General features: G+C 50.0%; 1 non-coding gene and 1 pseudogene across 1 annotated transcript, besides 1 other annotated feature; both read right to left on the minus strand.

Annotated features, from left to right (window-relative positions):
• On the minus strand, positions 464–4,174 carry PLA2G10KP (phospholipase A2 group XK, pseudogene; annotated as a pseudogene).
• Positions 7,308–7,947: an enhancer, noted in NCBI's record as "H3K27ac hESC enhancer chr16:28791989-28792628 (GRCh37/hg19 assembly coordinates)". NCBI's record gives its function as "activates a minimal SCP1, AML or CMV promoter by ChIP-STARR-seq in naive H9 embryonic stem cells {active_cell/tissue: H9 hESC(naive)}" and the evidence as "EXISTENCE:reporter gene assay evidence [ECO:0000049][PMID:30033119]".
• On the minus strand, positions 13,050–13,153 carry LOC124903792 (small nucleolar RNA U13). The gene has a single exon (XR_007065237.1). It is a non-coding gene; the product is annotated as a small nucleolar RNA U13 (small nucleolar RNA).
• Between the last annotated feature and the right edge of the window lie 5,351 nt (positions 13,154–18,504).

The following is an 18,504-nucleotide window of genomic DNA, read 5'->3' on the forward strand; positions in this document are numbered from 1 at the left end:
TCACATTAGGGCCAGACACCACGACTCATGCCTGTAATCCCAGCACTTTGGGAGGCCGAGGCGGGCAGAGCACTTGAGGTGGGGAGTTTGAGACCAGCCCGGCCAACTTGGTGAAACCCCACCTCTACTGAAAAACATACAAAAATTAGCTGGGCGTGATGGTGCATGCCTGTAGTCCCAGCCACTTGGGAGGCTGAGGCATGAGAATCGCTTGAACCCAGGAGGCAGAGGTTGTAGTGAGCCAAGATCACATCAGCACACTCTAGCCTGGGTGACAGAGCGAGACTCTGACTCAAAAAATAAATAAAATAAATATCACTTACATTAGATATACCCAAGGGGTGTTCTATAGAGAGTTGGAAGCAGTGGTTATTGCAACAGGGGCACGGAAGTCATCTGGCTATGCCAGGGTGCCCAGGGGATACTCGGGGTGGGTGGCATGGTGCTGCTGGGGACTCATCGCACAGGACGCTCTGATTGACGCACTGCCAGGAGTAGCGCTCTGTCTTGGGGCTGCAGCCGGCCTCCTCAGCTCGAGTGTAACAACAGTCGTGGCCATGGCAGCACCTGCGGATGTCACATGGGCAGGACAGCAGGTGGGTGAAGCTCTCTCCTGGCCCTCCTCTCTTGCCAGGACCATGGGTGACTGAAGACCCCCAGGGAGGCACAGCATCCTCTTATCTAAGTTTTTTTTGTTTTTTTTTGTTTTTTTTTTTTTTAAGAGACAGGGTCTTTCTCTGTCGCCCAGGCTGGACTGCAGAGGCACAATCATAGCTCACGGCAGCCTTGAACTCCTGGGCTCAAGCGATCCTCCTACTTCAGTGTCCCAAGTAGCTGAGACTACAGGCACACGCCAGCATGCCCGGCTGGTTTTTTAATTTGTATTTCCTTTGAGACAGCGTATCTCTCTGTTGCTCAGGCTGGGGTGCAATGGCTCCATCAGCTCACTTTAGCCTTGAACTCCCGGGCTCAAGTGATACTGCCACCTCAACTTCCCAAGTATGCTACTACAGGAACACAAACTCCTTTTTTAAATTTTTTGTGGATATGGGGTCTATGTTGCCTAGGCTGGTCTTGAACTCCCAGGCTCAAGCAGTCCTCCTACCTCAGCCTCTCCAAATGCTGGGATTACAGGTGGGAGCTACTGTATGCCTGGCCTTATCTAAGCTGTTTCCCTGAAAATCCCCGACTTCGATAATGATTCCATTGGCCCCACCATGCCCTGTCCTGCCTTCCTGGCTGTGCCCAAGCTTGGTCCCTGCCTGCCTGCCTCACTCTCTGGGTCTCGAGCTCCTGTGACACATGACTCCTCTCTCTTCCTGGAGTGATCCAAGCCCTGCCACTTCCTGACTTTGCCCACACTGTACCCTCTGCCTGGGGCAACTTCATGTCTGCCCATTGTCCCTTAGGCCTCAGCCCAGGCACAAGCCCCTGCCTCCGGAGGTCATCCAGGCCTCACCAGGCTACAACCTCTCGTAAAATTGGATTCCCTCCCTTCAGGGCAGGTTTATAATGAAATCCTCCTCAGAGGCCAGGTGCGGTGACACGCATCTGTAATCCCAGCACTTTGGGAGGCTGAGGTGGGAGGATCACTTGAGGCCAGGGGGTCGAGACCAGCCTGGGCAACATAAGAGAGACTCTTGTCTCTATAACAAATTTAAAAATTAGCTCACCAGGCCAGGCTCAGTGGCTCATGCCTGTAATCCCAACACTTTGAGAGGCCGAGGCAGGTGGATCACGAGGTCAGGAGTTCGAGGGCAGCCTGACCAACATGGCGAAACCCTGTCTCTACTAAAAATACAAAATTAGCCAGGCATGGTGGCACGCACCTGTAATCCCAGTTACTCGGGAGGCTGAGGTAGGAGAATTGCTTGAACCCAGGAGGTGGAGGTTGCGGTGAGCCAAGATCATGCCACTGCAGTCCAGCCTGAGCAACAGAGCAAGACTCTGTCTCAAGACAATAAAAACACACAAAAAATTAACTCGCCATGATGGCACATGCCTATAGTCCTAGCTACTTGGGAGGCTGACATGAGAGGATTCCCTTCAGCCCAGGAGTTTGAGGCTGCAGTGAGCCACTATGATTGTGCCACTGCACTCTAACCTGGGCAAAAGCGAGACCCCAGGCTAGAGTGCATGATTTGGGGTCACTGCAACCTCCACCTCCCAGGTTGAAGTGGTTCTCCTGCCTCAGCCTCTTGAGTAGCTGGGACTACAGGCATGTGCCACCACGCCTGGGTAATTTTTGTATTTTTAGTAGAGACAGGGTTTAGTAGAGACCATGGTGAAACCCCGTCTCTATAAAACAAATCTCTACTAACCCCATCTCTACAAAAAACAGCTGGGCGTGGTAGTGCACACCTGTAATTCCAGCTACTTGGGAGGCTGAGGCACGAGAATCATTTGCATCTTGGAGGCAGAGTTTGCAGTGAGCTGAGATCGCACCACTGCACTCCAGCCGGGATGACAGAGCAAGACCCTGTCTCAAAAAAAAGAAAAAGGAACAAACAACAGCAACAACAAAAAAACCTCTGTGTCAATCACAGCCTTCAAGCTAGGGGAGAGGCGGCCGAATTCTGCCCTCTGCTAACTAACTATAGCTTTGTGGAAATGGGTGAGTGGCATGCCCCTGTGAGCCTCAGGGCCCCATCTGTAAAATGGGCATAACTGTCATGCCCGTCTTTAAGAACAGCCTTGGGGGTAAATGAGTGGAACTCATGGAAAGATCTCAGCCCACAACCTTCCACAGAACAGGCGCTTCTCACACAGTAAGTAGCAGGAGTGCAGAGGCTGCAGGCATGAATCCAGCCAGACTGCCTGGGTTCAAGTCCCAGCTCCCACTTCTTGGTAACTAAGTGGCCTCAGACAAGTTACTTAATATTTCTTTTTTTTTTTTTTTTTTTCAGAAGGAGTTTTGCTCTGTCACCCAGGTTGGAGTGCAGTGGTGTGATCTCGGTTCATTGCAACCTCTGCCTCCCGGGTTCAAGCAATTCTCCTGCCTCAGCTTCCTGAGTAGCTGGAATTACAGGCACCTGCCACCACACACAGCTAATTTTTGTATTTTTAGTAGAGACGGGGTTTCACCATGTTGGCCAGGATGGTCTCGAACTCCTGACCTCATGATCTGCCTGCCTCAGCCTCCCAAAGTACTGGGATTACAGGCGTGAGCCACCGCACCTGGACACGTTACTGAATATTTCTGTGCCTAGGTTTCTTCATCTGTGAAATGGGATTGTTGTGAGAACACAAAGGGATTCCCAGGGCAGTTCCTAGTGCATAGTCTGGCTGCCTTTGTGTGTGTGTGTGTGTGTGTGTGTGTGTGTGTGTGTGTGTGTGTGTGTGTGTGTGTGTGTTTGTGTTTAATATAGAGACAGGGTCTCACTCTGTTGCCTAGGTTCGTTTCAAACTCCTGGGCTCCAGTGATCCTCCTGCCTCGACCCAAAGTGGTGGGATTACAGGCATGAGTCAACACACCTGGCCACTTTATATTATTATTATTTTTTTCTTTTGAGACAGGGTTTGGCACTGTTGTCCAGGTTGGAATACAGCGGTGCAATCTCAACTCACTGCAAACTCCACCTCCCGGGTTCAAGCAATTCTCCTGCCTCAGTCTCCCGAGTAGCTGAGATTACAGACGCCTGCCACCACACACAGCTAATTTTTGCATTTTTAGTAGAGATGGGGTTTCACCATATTGGCCAGGCTGGTCTTGAACTCCTGACCTCAAGTGATCTGCCCGCCTCGGCCTCCCAAAGTGCTGGGATTACAGGAGTTAGCCACCGCTCCTGGCCAATTTTTTAAGGCAACGTTTTCAGCCCATGGCCAGGGTAAGGGGCAGCTGGTACCAAGATCTGGCTTCACTGGCCATGTTATCCAAGAGGCCTCTGCCTGCCTGCAAAGTAGTACTGCACACTGGGATCTCCCTGGACCAAATCCCAGCTTCAGTTTTGGGTACTTCCTCATAAGCCTTGACTACCCCAGAGTGTGAGGGATTTTGTAGCCTGGTCCCAGGCATGCACTCACCAGTCAATGGCATCGCAGGGCTGGCCATGGCCTCCCAAGCCACAAAAGGAACCATATTTCGTATAGGTGATGGGAGTCTAGGGACCAACACAACCCACAATTCCTGCCAGTTCCAGGATCCCACGCCGGTGCACACATAATATCCTGGAGGCTGGGGGGTAAACAAAGGTGACAGGCTGCAGGTCAGGGCTTCCCAGACCCCTGGGAAGGGCATGAGCCTGAGAAGAGCCTAGGTGTTACAGCCTGGCTGTCTGGGTTTGAATCCTACTTCCTAGCTGTGTGACCTTGGATGAATTCCTAACCTCTCTGGGCCTTGGTTTCCTCATCTGTGAAATGGGGGATAAGCTGATTTCAACTCATATGAATGAAATGAGATAATGAGTATAAAGCCCCTGGTGCATGAAAAGGCTATTATAATCCGGCTGGGCTCAGTGGCTCACACCTGTAATCCCAAGACTTTGGGAGGCCCAGGTGGGCAGATCACCTGAGGTCAGCAGTTCAAGATCAGCCTGGCCAACATGGTGAAACCCCATCTGTAGTAAAAATACAAAAATTAGCTGAGCCTAGTGGTGCACACCGGTAATCCCAGCTACTAGGGAGGCTGAGGAAGGAGAGTCACTTGAACCTGAGAGGTGAAGATTGCAGTGAGCCAAGATTTTGCCACTGCATTCCAACCTGGACGACAGAGCAAGAGTCTCAAAAAAAGAAAAAGAAAAAAAGGATAACTATTATAATCAAGGTCCTCAAGGTAGCCAAGAAGGGAAAAAAGAGTCGTGCATGAAACGTTTGTCCAGTTCCCTGTGTTGGGCACTGGGCATCACGGATGTGCCTACAGGTGTCTGTCACCAAGATGGGCTCCTCTGTGGCAGCTCCCGGGCCCTGGCACTGCCCTGTGCTCATGACTTCCCCTCCAGACTCAGGGCCCTTGGTATCTCCTCTTATTTTCACTGCCAGACAGGAAGGCCCCTTGGCCTGAGTCCAGCCATTTTTCTAGATCCTGGCACAGCTTGGACATGTAATGGTGCCCAACGCATGTGACTGGAACCCCTGCATTGGACATGAAGGAAACGAGGCCAGCTGGGAAAGGTAACCCCACATTCCCACAGCCAGCAGGAACCCAAGCAGAGGCTTCAACCCAGGCTTCTGACTTGCAAAGCAGTGCTCCTTCCTCCTTACACAGTAACAACAGGGGAAGGTGGCCTTCCGGGTTGCCAGAGCCGAGTGGTACCAGCAATAGAGTGGAAACTCACACACAGGCTTGCCTGCTTCCTGGGTTAGGGTTAGGGTTTATATGGCTCCGGGAGGTTGATGCATTGTGTTTGATCTTCCCCCTTTTTTTTTTTTTTGAGACAGAGTCTCATTCCTGTTGCCCAGGCTGGAGCACAGTGGTGTAATCTTGCTCACAGCAACTTCTGCCTCCCAGGTTCAAGCAATTGTCCCGCCTCAGCCTCCCGAGTAGCTGGGATCACAGGTGTGCGCCACCACACCCAGCTGATTTTTGTATTTTTAGTAGAAACGGGGTTTCACCATCTAGGCCAGGCTGGTCTTGAACTCCTGACCTCATATGATCCACCTGGTTTGGCCTCCCAAAGTGCTGGGATTATAGGCGTGAGCCACTGCGCTCATCCTGATCATCTCGTCTCTCTTTTTTTTTTTAGAGACAGGGTCTCACTCTGTCACCCACACTGGAGTGCAGTGGCACAATCATAGCTCACTGCAGCCTCCAAATCCTGGGCTCAAGCGATCCTCCTGCCTCAGCCTCCAGACATATGGGCATGCACCACCATGCCCAGCTAATTTTTAAATTTTTAGTAGATCTGGGGTCTCACTATGTTGCCCAGGCTGTTCACAAACTCCTGGCCTCAAGTGATTCTCCTGCCTTGGCCTCCGAAGGCGCTGGGATTTCAGGCATGAGCCACCATGCCCAGTCTCATTTCTGTTTTATCTAGAACATGTTTTCATCACACTGACTTTTTTGAGAAGTCCAGGCCAGATTTAAATTCCATTTTGTCTTTTTATCGGTGGAAAAGTAGCATATTTATGTTGCAGGACAAAGATGAATCAAATAGGAAGAAAATGTAAAACACATTTGGGGCCAGGCACAGTGGCTCATGCCTGTAATCCCAGCACTTTGGGAGGCCAAGGTGGGCAGATCACCTGAAGTCAGGAGTTCCAGACCAGCCTGACCAACATGGAGAAACCATGTTTTTTTTTTTTTTTTTTTTTTTTTTTTATTGATCATTCTTGGGTGTTTCTCGCAGAGGTGGATTTGGCAGGGTCATAGGACAATAGCGGAGGGAAGGTCAGCAGATAAACAAGTGAACAAAGGTCTCTGGTTTTCCTAGGCAGAGGACCCTGCGGCCTTCCGCAGTGTTTGTGTCCCTGGGTACTTGAGATTAGGGAGTGGTGATGACTCTTAACGAGCATGCTGCCTTCAAGCATCTGTTTAACAAAGCACATCTTGCACCACCCTTAATCCGTTTAACCCTGAGTGGACACAGCACATGTTTCAGAGAGCACAGGGTTGGGGTAAGGTCACAGATCAACAGGATCCCAAGGCAGAAGAATTTTTCTTACTACAGAACAAAATGAAAAGTCTCCCATGTCTACTTCCTTCTACACAGACACGGCAACCATCCGATTTCTCAATCTTTTCCCCACCTTTCCCCCCTTTCTATTCCACAAAACCGCCACTGTCATCATGGCCCGTTCTCAATGAGCTGTTGGGCACACCTCCCAGCCGGGGTGGCGGCCGGGCAGAGGGGCTCCTCACTTCCCAGTAGGGGTGGCCGGGCAGAGTCACCCCTCACCTCCCGGACAGGGCGGCTGGCCGGGTTGGGGGCTGACCCCCCCACCTCCCTCCCGGGTGGGGCGGCTGGTTGGGCGGGGGACTGATCCCCCCACCTCCCTCCCGGGTGGGGCGGCTGGCCGGGCGGGGGGGCTGACTCCCCCACCTCCCTCCCGGACGGGGCGGCTGGCCGGGCGGGGGGGCTGACCCCCACCTCCCTCCCGGACGGGGTGGCTGCCGGGCGGAGACACTCTTCACTTCCCAGACGGGGTGGCTGCCGGGCGGAGGGGCTCCTCACTTCTCAGACGAGGCGGCTGCCGGGCGGAGGGGCTCCTCACTTCTCAGACGGGGCGGTCGCCAGGCAGAGGGTCTCCTCACTTCTCAGACGCTCCTCACCTCCCAGACGGGGTCGCGGCCGGGCAGAGGCACTCCCCACATCTCAGACGATGGGCAGCCTGGCAGAGACACTCCTCACCTACCAGATGGGATGGCGGCCGGGAAGAGGCGCTCCTCACTTCCTAGATGGGATGGCGGCCGGGCAGAGAGGCTCCTCACTTTCCAGACTGGGCAGCCAGGCAGAGGGGCTCCTCACATCCCAGATGATGGGCGGCCAGGCAGAGACGCTCCTCACTTCCCAGACGGGGTGGCGGCCGGGCAGAGGCTGCAATCTCGGCACTTTGGGAGGCCAAGGCAGGCGGTTGAGAGGTGGAGGTTGTAGCGAGCCGAGATCATGCCACTGCACTCCAGCCTGGGCACCATTGAGCACTGAGTGAACGAGACTCCGTCTGCAATCCCAGCACCTCGGGAGGCCGAGGCTGGCGGATCACTAGCGGTCAGGAGCTGGAGACCAGCCCGGCCAACACGGCGAAACCCCGTCTCCACCAAAAAACACAGACGGCGCGTGCCTGCAATCCCAGGCACTTGGCAGGCTGAGGCAGGAGAATGAGGCAGGGAGGTTGCAGTGAGCCGAGATGGTGGCAGTACAGTCCAGCCTCGGCTCGGCATCAGAGGGAGACTGTGGAAAGTGAGAGAGGAAGGGGGAGGGGGAGGGAGAGGACAAAAAATTAAAATTTAGCCGGACATGGTTGTGTGTGCCAGTAGTCCAAGCTGCTGGGGAGACTGAGGCAGGAGGATCACTTGAGCCCAGGAACTTAAGGTCTATTTAAGTAAAGGGTACAGTGAGCTGTGATTATACCACTGCACTCCAGCCTGGGGAATAGAGCAAGACCCTGTCTCTAAAAAAAGGTAACAAAATAACATGAATGGATTCCATTTTAAGAGAATGAAGCATCATTGTGTAAGACTATGAAATTGGAAGCAAAGAGCATGAAGCCCAAAAAAAAAAAAAAAACCATCTGAAGTCAGGGTGCCTGGGGTCAGAGGTGGGGGGAGGATTGAAGAGGTGCAGATGTAAAAAACTGAAGCTACTGTGACCAGTGGATTCGGGAGTTGAAGGAGTCAAGAATGACACATTCTCCTGACTGGAGGATAAACAAATATGACTGTTTTCAAGAAATAGCTGGAATATTCTTTGTGTTCAGAAGTACAAGAACAGCACATATGGAGGGCGGACTGATACTGAAGTTGAAGAGAAGCCTTCTGATGTGCACTAACTAGATTCTAGACTCAGCTTCTGTCACAAGGAGCCCCAAACAGTGACTCAGCAAAATAGCTTATTTCTCATGTGACAGTTCAGAGGTGATTGGTCCAGGGTTAGGGTTAGACAACAACCGTTATGCAAAATCATCTAGGGACCCAGGGCTGCGCTGTCATGTTGCTCTTGCATCCCCAAGGTTGTCATCTGTGTGGTTAAAGCGGCTCACCAGCCCCAAGTCCTCGTTCAAGCCCATGTAAAAGGAAGCGGAAATACAGGGCCTGGAAATTACACTGATCCCATTGGCCAGAACTTAGTCTCACCTTCTTACCACCCTATATGCGAGACTAAAATGCCTCTAGCTGGATAGTTACATGTTCATTTAAACTTGGGTCATTTTGTTTCTAAATGAAGGGAAGGGGCACAAGTATTAGTCTGTCACAGAAGAGAAAGAACAGAGAGAAAGGTTTTGAAGGGAATGACTTATAAATAGTTACCCGAAGTCTGGTCGTGGCTGACATCAGAGCCAGCATGTTGACCACTTCCATACTGCGTGCTTTAGCTGCCTTATCTCACTTAATCTCAGAATAACCCTATTGTCATTCCCAACTTGTAGATGGGAAAACAGACCCAAAGAGAAGTGATTTACCTTCCACACAATGGGGAAGTAAGGGGGCTAGGTGCACGTCAAGGCAGCCTGTGCCTGGCTCTTATACCTGGTGCTGCTTACATTTCCAGAGGGGGCAGCCTAGAGGAGAGGCCTAGGGACTGGACTCAACGTGCGAGTGCTTGGTGGAAGGGAAGCCAGAGGATCGAGTGGCCAGAGGTTAAGAACCAGGGAGGAGCAGTGATGAAAAGGCTGGAGAGCTTATGCATTTCAGGGCTGGGCTGCCAAGTACCTCACTTGGCCAGTTCAGCATTCTTAGGCAGGAGGCACAGCCATTGTGTTGTCCAATGCCAGGGTATATACCTTTTTCAGTTTCCAATCTACCAATGGTGACCTTTGAACAGCATTGTCAAACCCTTTTCTGCCCAGGGCTAGATAGTATATATTTTAAGCTTTGTGGGCCACACGTGGATTGTCACTCCTTTTCTTAACTTTTTTTTTTTTTTTTTGAGACAGGGTCTCCGCTCTGTCGCCCAGGCTGTTAACTACCGTTAACATTTTAATGCCTCTCTTTCTGGTGTGTGTATATTTATTACTAGACTGGAATCATCCTATATCTATGTCATCTGTTGCTGTTTCCTGTCCCTTTACATAAAGTGAGCTGCTTTCTGAAATTTTATTTATTTTATAATTTATTTATTTTATAGACAGAGTCTTGCCCTGTCACCCAGGTTGGAGTTCAGTGGTGCAATCTCAGCTCACTGCAATCTCAGCCTCCCGAGTAGCTGGGACTACAGACACTCGCCACCACACCCGGCTAATTTTCATATTTTTAGTACAGATGGGTTTTCACCATGTTGGCCAGACTGGTCTTGAACTCCTGGCCTCAAGTGATCTGCCCGCCTCAGCGTCCCAAAGTGCTGGGATTACAGGCATGAGCCACCATGCCCGGCCTCCCCTCCCTTTAAATAACATGAACTGCTTTCCTAAATTTTAGCTAATCCCCTGGGTTGGAAGGTGGGAGGGCATAGGGGCCAAAAGGACAAGGCTCAAGTCAAGATGCCTGGGTTCACATTCCAGCCCTTCCCTTAGAAGCTGCCACCCTTGGGACAATCTCGCTTCTCTAAGCCTCAGCGGCTTCATCTGTGAAAGATCATCTCTCTTTGTTGGAGTTGCTGTGCATTCCGTGAAAGGGCCGTATATGCCAAGTGACCCTCATGCCAAAGGAGCCAAAAAAAAAAAGGAAGCAGACAAATCCAGTTTGTCAGTTTTGGGTGATTTATTAAGGAACTTACACACAAAAGCATGGTCTTGGGCTGCGCCATGACAGATCTCCACACCACAGCCCCAAGACCTACCGCTTATGTCTTGGAGCAAAAGCATAGTGCTCTGGAAGGAATGTATAGGTGGCTACAGTGCTCACAGCCTGTCATTTCTGCAACAACAGGGTGGTTTTGGAGGAAATTTACAATTAACAGACGTTCCTACATAAACAGTCATACATCCACCAGGCATGGTGGCACACAACTATAGTCCCAGCAACTCAGAAGACTGAGGTGGGAGGATCACCTGAGCCTGGAAGGTCGAGGCTTCAGTGAGCTGTCATCACACCACTGCATTCCAACCTGGGTGACAGACAGACTGTCTCAAGACACAAAAGCACGAGAAGAGAAGCAGTTTGAATAAAGTACTGTCTCTAATGAAAAGTACTTTAGGCTGGGCATGGTGGCTCATGCCTGTAATCCCAGCACTTTGGGAGGCTGAGGCAGGTGGATCACAAAATCAGGAGTTCGAGACCAGCCTGACCAACATGGTGGAACCCCATCTCTACTAAAAATACAAGAATTAGCCAGGCATAGTGGTGCATGACTGTAGTCCAAGCTACTTGGGAGGCTAAGACAGGAGAATTGCTTGAACCCAAGAGGTGGAGGTTGCAGTGAGCCACGATTGTGCCATTGCACTCCAGCCTGGGTGACAGAGTGAGACTCCATCTCAAAAGAAAAAAAGTACTTAAAAAAATTTTTTTTTAATTAAAAAAGCCAGACGTAGGCAGGTGGATCATGAGGTCAGGAGATCAAGACCATCCTGGCCAACATGGTGAAACCCCATCTCTACTAAAAATACAAAAATAAGCCAGGTGTGGTGGCACACACCTGTAATCCCAGCTACTCGGGAGGCTGAGACGGGAGAATCCTTTGAACTCAGGAGGCGGAGGTTGTAGTGAGCCGAGATTGCGCCACTGCACTCCAGCCTGAGCAACAGTGAGACTCCATCTCAAAAACAAAAACAAAAAAAGCAAGCCAGGCACGGCTCACACCAGTAATCCCAGCACTTTGGGAGGCCAAGTCGGGAGGATTGCCTGAGCCCAGGAGTTTGAGACCAGCATGGACAACATGGTGACACCCGTCTTTATAAAAATTTTTTAAAAAATAAAAGGTAATACATCAAGACTGTGTACAGTGGCTCATGCCTGTAATCTCAGCACTTTGGGAGGCCAAGGCGAGAATTGCTTGAGATCAGGAATTTGAGACCACCCTGGGCAACATAACAAGACCCCAACTCTACAAAAAAAAAATTTTAATGAGCAGGGGGCATTTGTTGAGCTGGCCTATTGTCCCAGCTACTTGGAGGCTGACAGTTCAAGTGCCAGGGTCCGAGCCAAAAGATGTGGGGTGTAACCTATGGTGAACGGGTTGTGGTCTGTATCACACCAGAGTTCATAGCCTAAGTAAAGGGGAGAGGAGGCAGCGACTGTGCTGCCGGGGTGGGAACCAAACTTCCCTTTCAGTCTCTTCCACTGACCTGACACTTCCCTTGTAGGGCCTCAGGATCCTCATCTTTCTAATGAAGAGGATCGTTTCCAAAGGATGGCAAACTTCAGTACCTTCTAATCAGTTATCTAAATTTTTTTTTTTGAGACGGAGTCTTGCTCTGTCACCCAGGCTGGAGTGCAGTGGCGTGATCTTGGCTCACTGCAGCCTCTGCCTCGGATTCAAGCGATTCTCCTGCCTCAGCCTCCTGAGTAGCTGGGATTACAGGCATCCACCACCATGCCTGGCTATCAGTTATCTAATTTTATTTTACTTAAAATTATTGAGGTGAAATAACATAAAGTAACCATTTTATTTATTTATTTCTATTTATTTATTTATTTGAGATGGGGTTTTGCTCTTGTTGCCCAGGCTGGAGTGCAGTGGCACAATCTCGGCTTACTGCAACCTCTGCCTCCTGGGATCAAGTGATTCTCCTGCCTCAGCCTCCTGGGTAGCTGGGATTATAGGCACACACCACCATGCCTGGCTAATTTTTGTATTTTATTAGTAGAGATGGGTTTCGCCATGTTGACCTGGCTGGTCTCGAACTCCTGACCTCAGGTGATCTGCCCACTTTGGCCTCCCAAAGTATTTATTTTATTTTGAGACAGGGTCTTGCTCTGTCATCCTGGCTGGAGTGCAATGATAGCTCACTGCAGCCTTGAACGAACTCGTGGGTTCTCAGCCTCCATCTCAGCCTCCAGATAACTGGGGCTATGGCTAATGTTTTTGTTTGTTTGTTTGTTTGTTTTGAGACAGAGTCTCACTCTGTTACCCAGGCTCAAATGCAATGGCGAGATCTTGGCTCACTGCAACCTCCACTTCCCAGGTTCCAGTGATTCCCCTGCCTCAGCCTCTCGAGTAGCTGGGATTACAGGCGCTCATTACCACAACTGGCTAATTTTTTTTTTTTTTTTAATACAGAGATGAGGTTTCACCATATTGGCCAAGCTGGTCTCAAACTTCTGATCTCGGGTGATCCACCTGCCTCAGTCTCCCAAAGTGCCATGCCCAGCTAATTTTTAAATTGAGACCAGGTCTCCCTGTGTTAACCATGCTGATCTTGAACTTCCAGGATCAAGTGATCCTTCTGCCTGGGCCTCCCAAAGTGCTGGAATTCCAGGCATAAGCCATCATGGCTGGCCTGATTTTTTAAAAGAAACAGAAATTGGGATTTTATTGTGAAATCTCCTGATCTTAGTATATTGGATTTCATTATTTTTACATCAGGCAGATAATGTGTCAATGTCAAAACAAGGTTTGAGGGAGGTGCAACTCACGCATGAGCATGAAAACACAGTCATCACGTTTATGAACTACAAAAAGATGTGGCTTTAATTATTTGAAAGACATCTTGGCCAGGCCCGGTGGCTCACTCCTGTAATCCCAGCACTTTGGGAGGCCGAGGCAGGTGGATCACCTGAGGTCAGGAGATCGAGACCATACTGGTCAACATGGTGAAACCCTGTCTCTACAGGCCGGGTGCGGTGGCTCAAGCCTGTAATCCCAGCACTTTGGGAGGCCGAGGTGGGTGGATCACAAGGTCAGGAGATCGAGACCATCCTGGCTAACATGGTGAAACCCCATCTCTACTAAAAATACAAAAAATTAGCCGGGTGTGGTGGCGGGCACCTGTAGTCCCAGCTACTCAGGAGGCTGAGGCAGGAGAATGGCATGAACCTGGGAGGTGGAGGTTGCAGTGAGCCGAGATCATGCCACTGAGCTCCAGCCTGGGTGAAAGAGCGAGACTCCGTCTCCAAAAAAAAAAAAAAAGAAAGAAAGAAAAAGAAACCCTGTCTCTACTAAAAATACAAAAATTACCTGGGCATGGTGGTGGGAGCCTGTGGTCCCAGTTACTCAGGAGGCTGAGGCAGAAGAATCGCTTGAACCCAGGAGGTGGAGATTGCAGTGAGCCGAGATCACGCCACTGCACTCCAGCCTGGTGACAGAGTGAGACTCTGGCTCAAAAAAAAAAAAACATTTTACTGGTCAATACTATATAAGACAAGCAGGCCGGGCGCGGTGGCTCAAGCCTGTAATCCCAGCACTTTGGGAGGCCGAGGTGGGCGGATCACAAGGTCAGGAGATCGAGACCATCCTGGCTAACATGGTGAAACCCCATCTCTACTAAAAATACAAAAAAAAATTAGCCGGGCATGGTGGCGGGCACCTGTAGTCCCAGCTACTTGGGAGGCTGAGGCAGGAGAATGGCGTGAACCCAGGAGGCGGAGCTTGCAGTGAGCCGAGATCACGCCACTGCACTCCAGCCTGGGCGACAGAGCAAGACTCCATCTCAAAAAATAATAATAATAATAATAAGACAACAAAACATTTGCTGGCCAGGTGATGAAAGGTGAATTCTGCTTTCATCACAGTTACTGTCAAGCATTCAACCACAATTTATTGAGACTTCCATGCAGAACTTTGTGGAAAGCAAAGCACTGGGGAGAGATTCCATGAACATCATTCATTTAAACACCCATTTGTTATTTTATTTTATTTATTTATTTTATTTTATTTTTTTGAGACGGAGTCTTGCTCTTGTCACCCAGGCTGGAGTGTAGTGGCGTGATCTCAGCTCACTGCAACCTCCGTCTCCTGGGTTCAAGTGATTCTGCCGCCTCCTCCTCCTGAGTAGCTGGGATTACAGGCGCCCACCCCAACACCTGGCTAATTTTGGTACTTTTAGTAGAGATGGGATTTCGCCATGCTGGCCAGGCTGGTCTTGAACTCCTGACCTCAGCTGATCCGCCCGCCTTGGCCTCCCAAAGTGCTGGGATTACAGGCGCGAGCCACCACGCCTGGCTATCTTATTATTTTTTTAATTGAGACAAAGTCTCACTTTGTCACCCAAGCTGGAGTGCAGTGGCACAATCTTGGCTCACTGCAACCTCTGCCTCCTGGGTTCAAGCAATTCTTCTGCCTCAGCCTCCCAAGTAGCTGGATTACAGGCATGCACCACCACGCCTGGCTAATTTTTGTATTTTTAGTAGAGATGAGGGTTCACCATGTTGGCCAGGCTGGTCTCGAACTTCTGACCTCAAGTGATTTTTCTGCCTCAGCCTCTGAAAGTACTGGGATTATAGGCATGAGCCACTGCACCTGGCCTATGTTTATTTATTTTTGAGACAGAGTATTGCTCTGTTGCCCACGCTGGAGTGCAGTGGCGTGATCTTGGCTCACTGCAACCTCCGTCTCCTGGGTTCAAGCAATTCTCCTGCCTCAGCCTCCTGAGTAGCTGGGATTACAGGCACCCGCCACCATGCCCAGCTAATTTTTGTATTTTTAGTAGAGACAGAGTTTCACTATGTTGGCCAGGCTGGTCTTGAACTCCTGACTTCAGGTGATCTGCCCACCTTGGCCTCCCAGAGTGCTGGGATTACAGGCATGAGCCACCACGCCCAGCCCCCATTTATTTTTTAGACTTTTATTATATTTTTTGAGACAGGGTCTCACTGTGTCTCCCAGGCTGGTGTGCAGTGGTACAAGCACAGCTCACTGAAGCCTCCCAGCTCAAGCAATCCTCTCACCTCAGCCTCCCGGGTAGCTGGAATGTGCCATCACACCTGGCTAATTTTTCTATTTTTTGGTAGAGATCGGGGTCTTGCTTTGTTGCCCAGGCTGGTCTTGAATTCCTGGGCTCAAGTGATCCTCCCACATTGGCCTCCCAAAGTGCTAGGATTACAGATATGAGGCACCATGCCCAGACTTAAACACCCATTTATTGTGCACTTTCTCTGCACCAGGCCCTGATCTGAGCCCCATGCACAGATGTGAACAAGACCTTACTCTCCAGGGACCAGGGGAAAGAAGTGCTACTTCTGTGCTCTGGAGAACCGAGTTCTCCAATCAGAAAAGATGAGAATGGAGGCCAGGTGCAGTGGTGACTAACGCCTGTACTCACACTTTGGGAGGCCGAGGCAGGAGGATCACCTGAGGTTAGGAGTTCGAGAGCAGTCTGGCCAACATGGTGAAAACCTATCTCTACTAAAAATACAAAAATTAGCCAGGTGTGGTGCCGTGTGCCTGTAATCCCAGCTACTTGGGAGGCTGAGGCAGAAGAATTGCTTGAACCTGGGAGGTAGAGGTTGCAGTGAGCTGAGATTCCCGCCACTGCACTCCAGCCTGGGGGACAGAGAGAGACTGTCTCAAAAAAAAAAAAAAGTTTTTTAAATTTAAAAAGGCAGCCGGGCGCAGTGGCTCACGCCTGTAATCCCAGCACTTTGGGAGGCCGAGGCGGGCAGATCATGAGGTCAGGAGATCGAGAACCTCCTGGCTAACACAGTGAAACCCCATCTCTACTAAAAACACAAAAAATTAGCTGGGCGCAGTGGCGGGCGCCTGTAGTCCCAGCTACTCAGGAGGCTGAGGCAGGAGAATGGCGCGAACCCGGGAGGCAGAGCTTGTAGTGAGCTGAGACTGCGCCACTGCACTCCAGCCTGGGTGACAGAGCGAGACTCCGTCTCAGAAAAAAAAAAAAAAAAAAAAAAGCCAGTCACAGTGGCTCACGCCTGTAATCCCAGCACTTTGGAAGGCCAAGGTGGGTGGATCACAAGGTCAGTAGTTCAAGAGCAGCCTGGCCAAGATGGTGAAATCCTGTCTCTACCAAAAATACAAAAATTAGCTGGGCGCAGTGGCAGGTGCCTGTAATCCCAGCTACTTGGGAGGCTGAGGCAGGAGAATCATTTGAACCCAGGAGGTGGAGGTTGCAATGAGCTGAGATCGTGCCACTGCACTCCAGCCTGGGTGACAAGAGTGACATGCTGTCAAAAAAAAAAAAACGGAATTGCTAGGACAGTCAAAAACAAATGGAATTGCTAGGACAGTCTAGACAGTTTTCACAAAGCAAGACTTTGGTCCCCTCTTCAGGACTCAGCATGGCCTCAGATCCAGCCACCAGGCCCTGAATACCTTCAAGTTTGAGTGTAGAAGGGCATATTTCGCCTTCTTTTTGTGCTTCCCCTGACACCCTGACGTTCTTGACTCATCTGTCTTCATCTTCCGAGCCAACTTTGCTTACCCACAAAGGGAGGGCACTATTCCCTCACAAAACACAGCCCAAGGCTCACTCTTTCCTCTTTTCCTATAGAAGAGCCAAAGGGCATGACAGTTGCTTCTGCTCCTTTAACCTACCCACTCTTTCCTCACAGCCCTCCTCAGCCTTCACAGTCCATAATGCAGTCTTGAATTCTGGGCTTCATATTCTCGACACACTCTGCAAACAGAATCCCCTAGGAAGCTATATTTATTTCCTTTTTTTTTTTTTTTTTTTTTTTTTTTTTGAGACGGAGTCTCACTCTGTCACCCAGCCTGGAGTGCAATGGCATGATCTCGGCTCACTGCAACCTCTGCCTCCCGGGTTCAAACGATTCTCCTGCTTTGGCCTCCCGAGTAGCTGGGACTACAGGTGCCCACCACCACACCTGGCTAATTTTTGTATTTTTGGTAGAGACAGGGTTTCACTATGTTGGCCAGGCTGGTCTCAAACTCCTGACCTCATGATCCTCACACCTCAGCCTCTCAAAGTGCTGGGATTACAGGCATGCGCCACCATGCCTGGCCTATTTACTTATTTTTATTTTTATTTTGAGACAGGTTCTCACTTTGTTGCCCAGGCTGCAGTGCAGTGGCATAAACATGGGTTATAGCAGCCTTGACCTCCTAGGCTCAAGCAAGCCCCCTGCCTCAGTCCCCCAAGCAGCTGGAACTACAGATATGTGCCACCATGTCCGGCTAATTTTTTTTTTTTTTTTTTGAGGTGGAGTCTCGCTCTGTTGCACAGGCTGTAGTACAGTGGTGTGATCTTGGCTCACTGCAACTTCTGCCTCCCAGAGGCAGAGGATTACTCACACCTGTAATCCCAGTTTAGGGAGGCTGAAGCGGGCAGACAGCTTGAAGCCAGGAGTTTGACACCATCCTGGCCAACATGGTGAAAGCCTGTCTCTGCTAAATAAAAAAATTAGCCAGGCATGGTGGCACATGCCTGTGGTCCCAGCTACTCAGGAGGCTGAGGCACAAGAATCGCTCGAACCCAGGAGGCGTAGTTTTCAGTGAGCTGAGATCTCACCATTGCACTCCAGCCTGGGCGACAAGAGACTTCGTCTCAAAAAAAAAAAAAAAAAAAAAAAGATAATAAAGATGAGCAGAAATAAATGCAGCAGAGAATAAAAAATAGAGGAAGTAAGTAAAACCAAAATAATTTGGTTCTTTGAAAAATCCATAAAATTGATGAACCTTTAGATGGACTGACCAAGAAAAAAGCAGAGGAGACTCAAACTGCAAAACAGGAGCAAAAGAGGAGACATCACTACCAACATTAGATAAGTAAAAGAATTATCAGGGAATACTATGAACAGTTGTATGCCAACAAATTAGATGAAAGGAACAAATTCCTAGGGGAATTTAAACACCAAACTTAAGAAGAAATATAAAATCTAGGCCAGGCATGGTGGCTCACGTCTGTAATCCCAGCACTTTGAGGGGCTGAGTCAAGTAGATCATCTGAGATCAGGAGTTTGAGACCAGCCTGACCAACATGGTGAAACCTCATGTCTACTAAAGATACAAAAAATTAGCCAGGCAAGTGGCGCACGCCTGTAATCCCAGCTGAGGCAGGAGAATCACTTAAACCGGGGAGGTGGAGGTTGCAGTAAGCTGAGATTGTGCCATTGCACTCTAG

The sequence above is a fragment of the Homo sapiens genome, chromosome 16 (assembly GCF_000001405.40).
Source record: "Homo sapiens chromosome 16, GRCh38.p14 Primary Assembly".
Taxonomy (NCBI): Eukaryota; Metazoa; Chordata; class Mammalia; order Primates; family Hominidae; genus Homo; species Homo sapiens.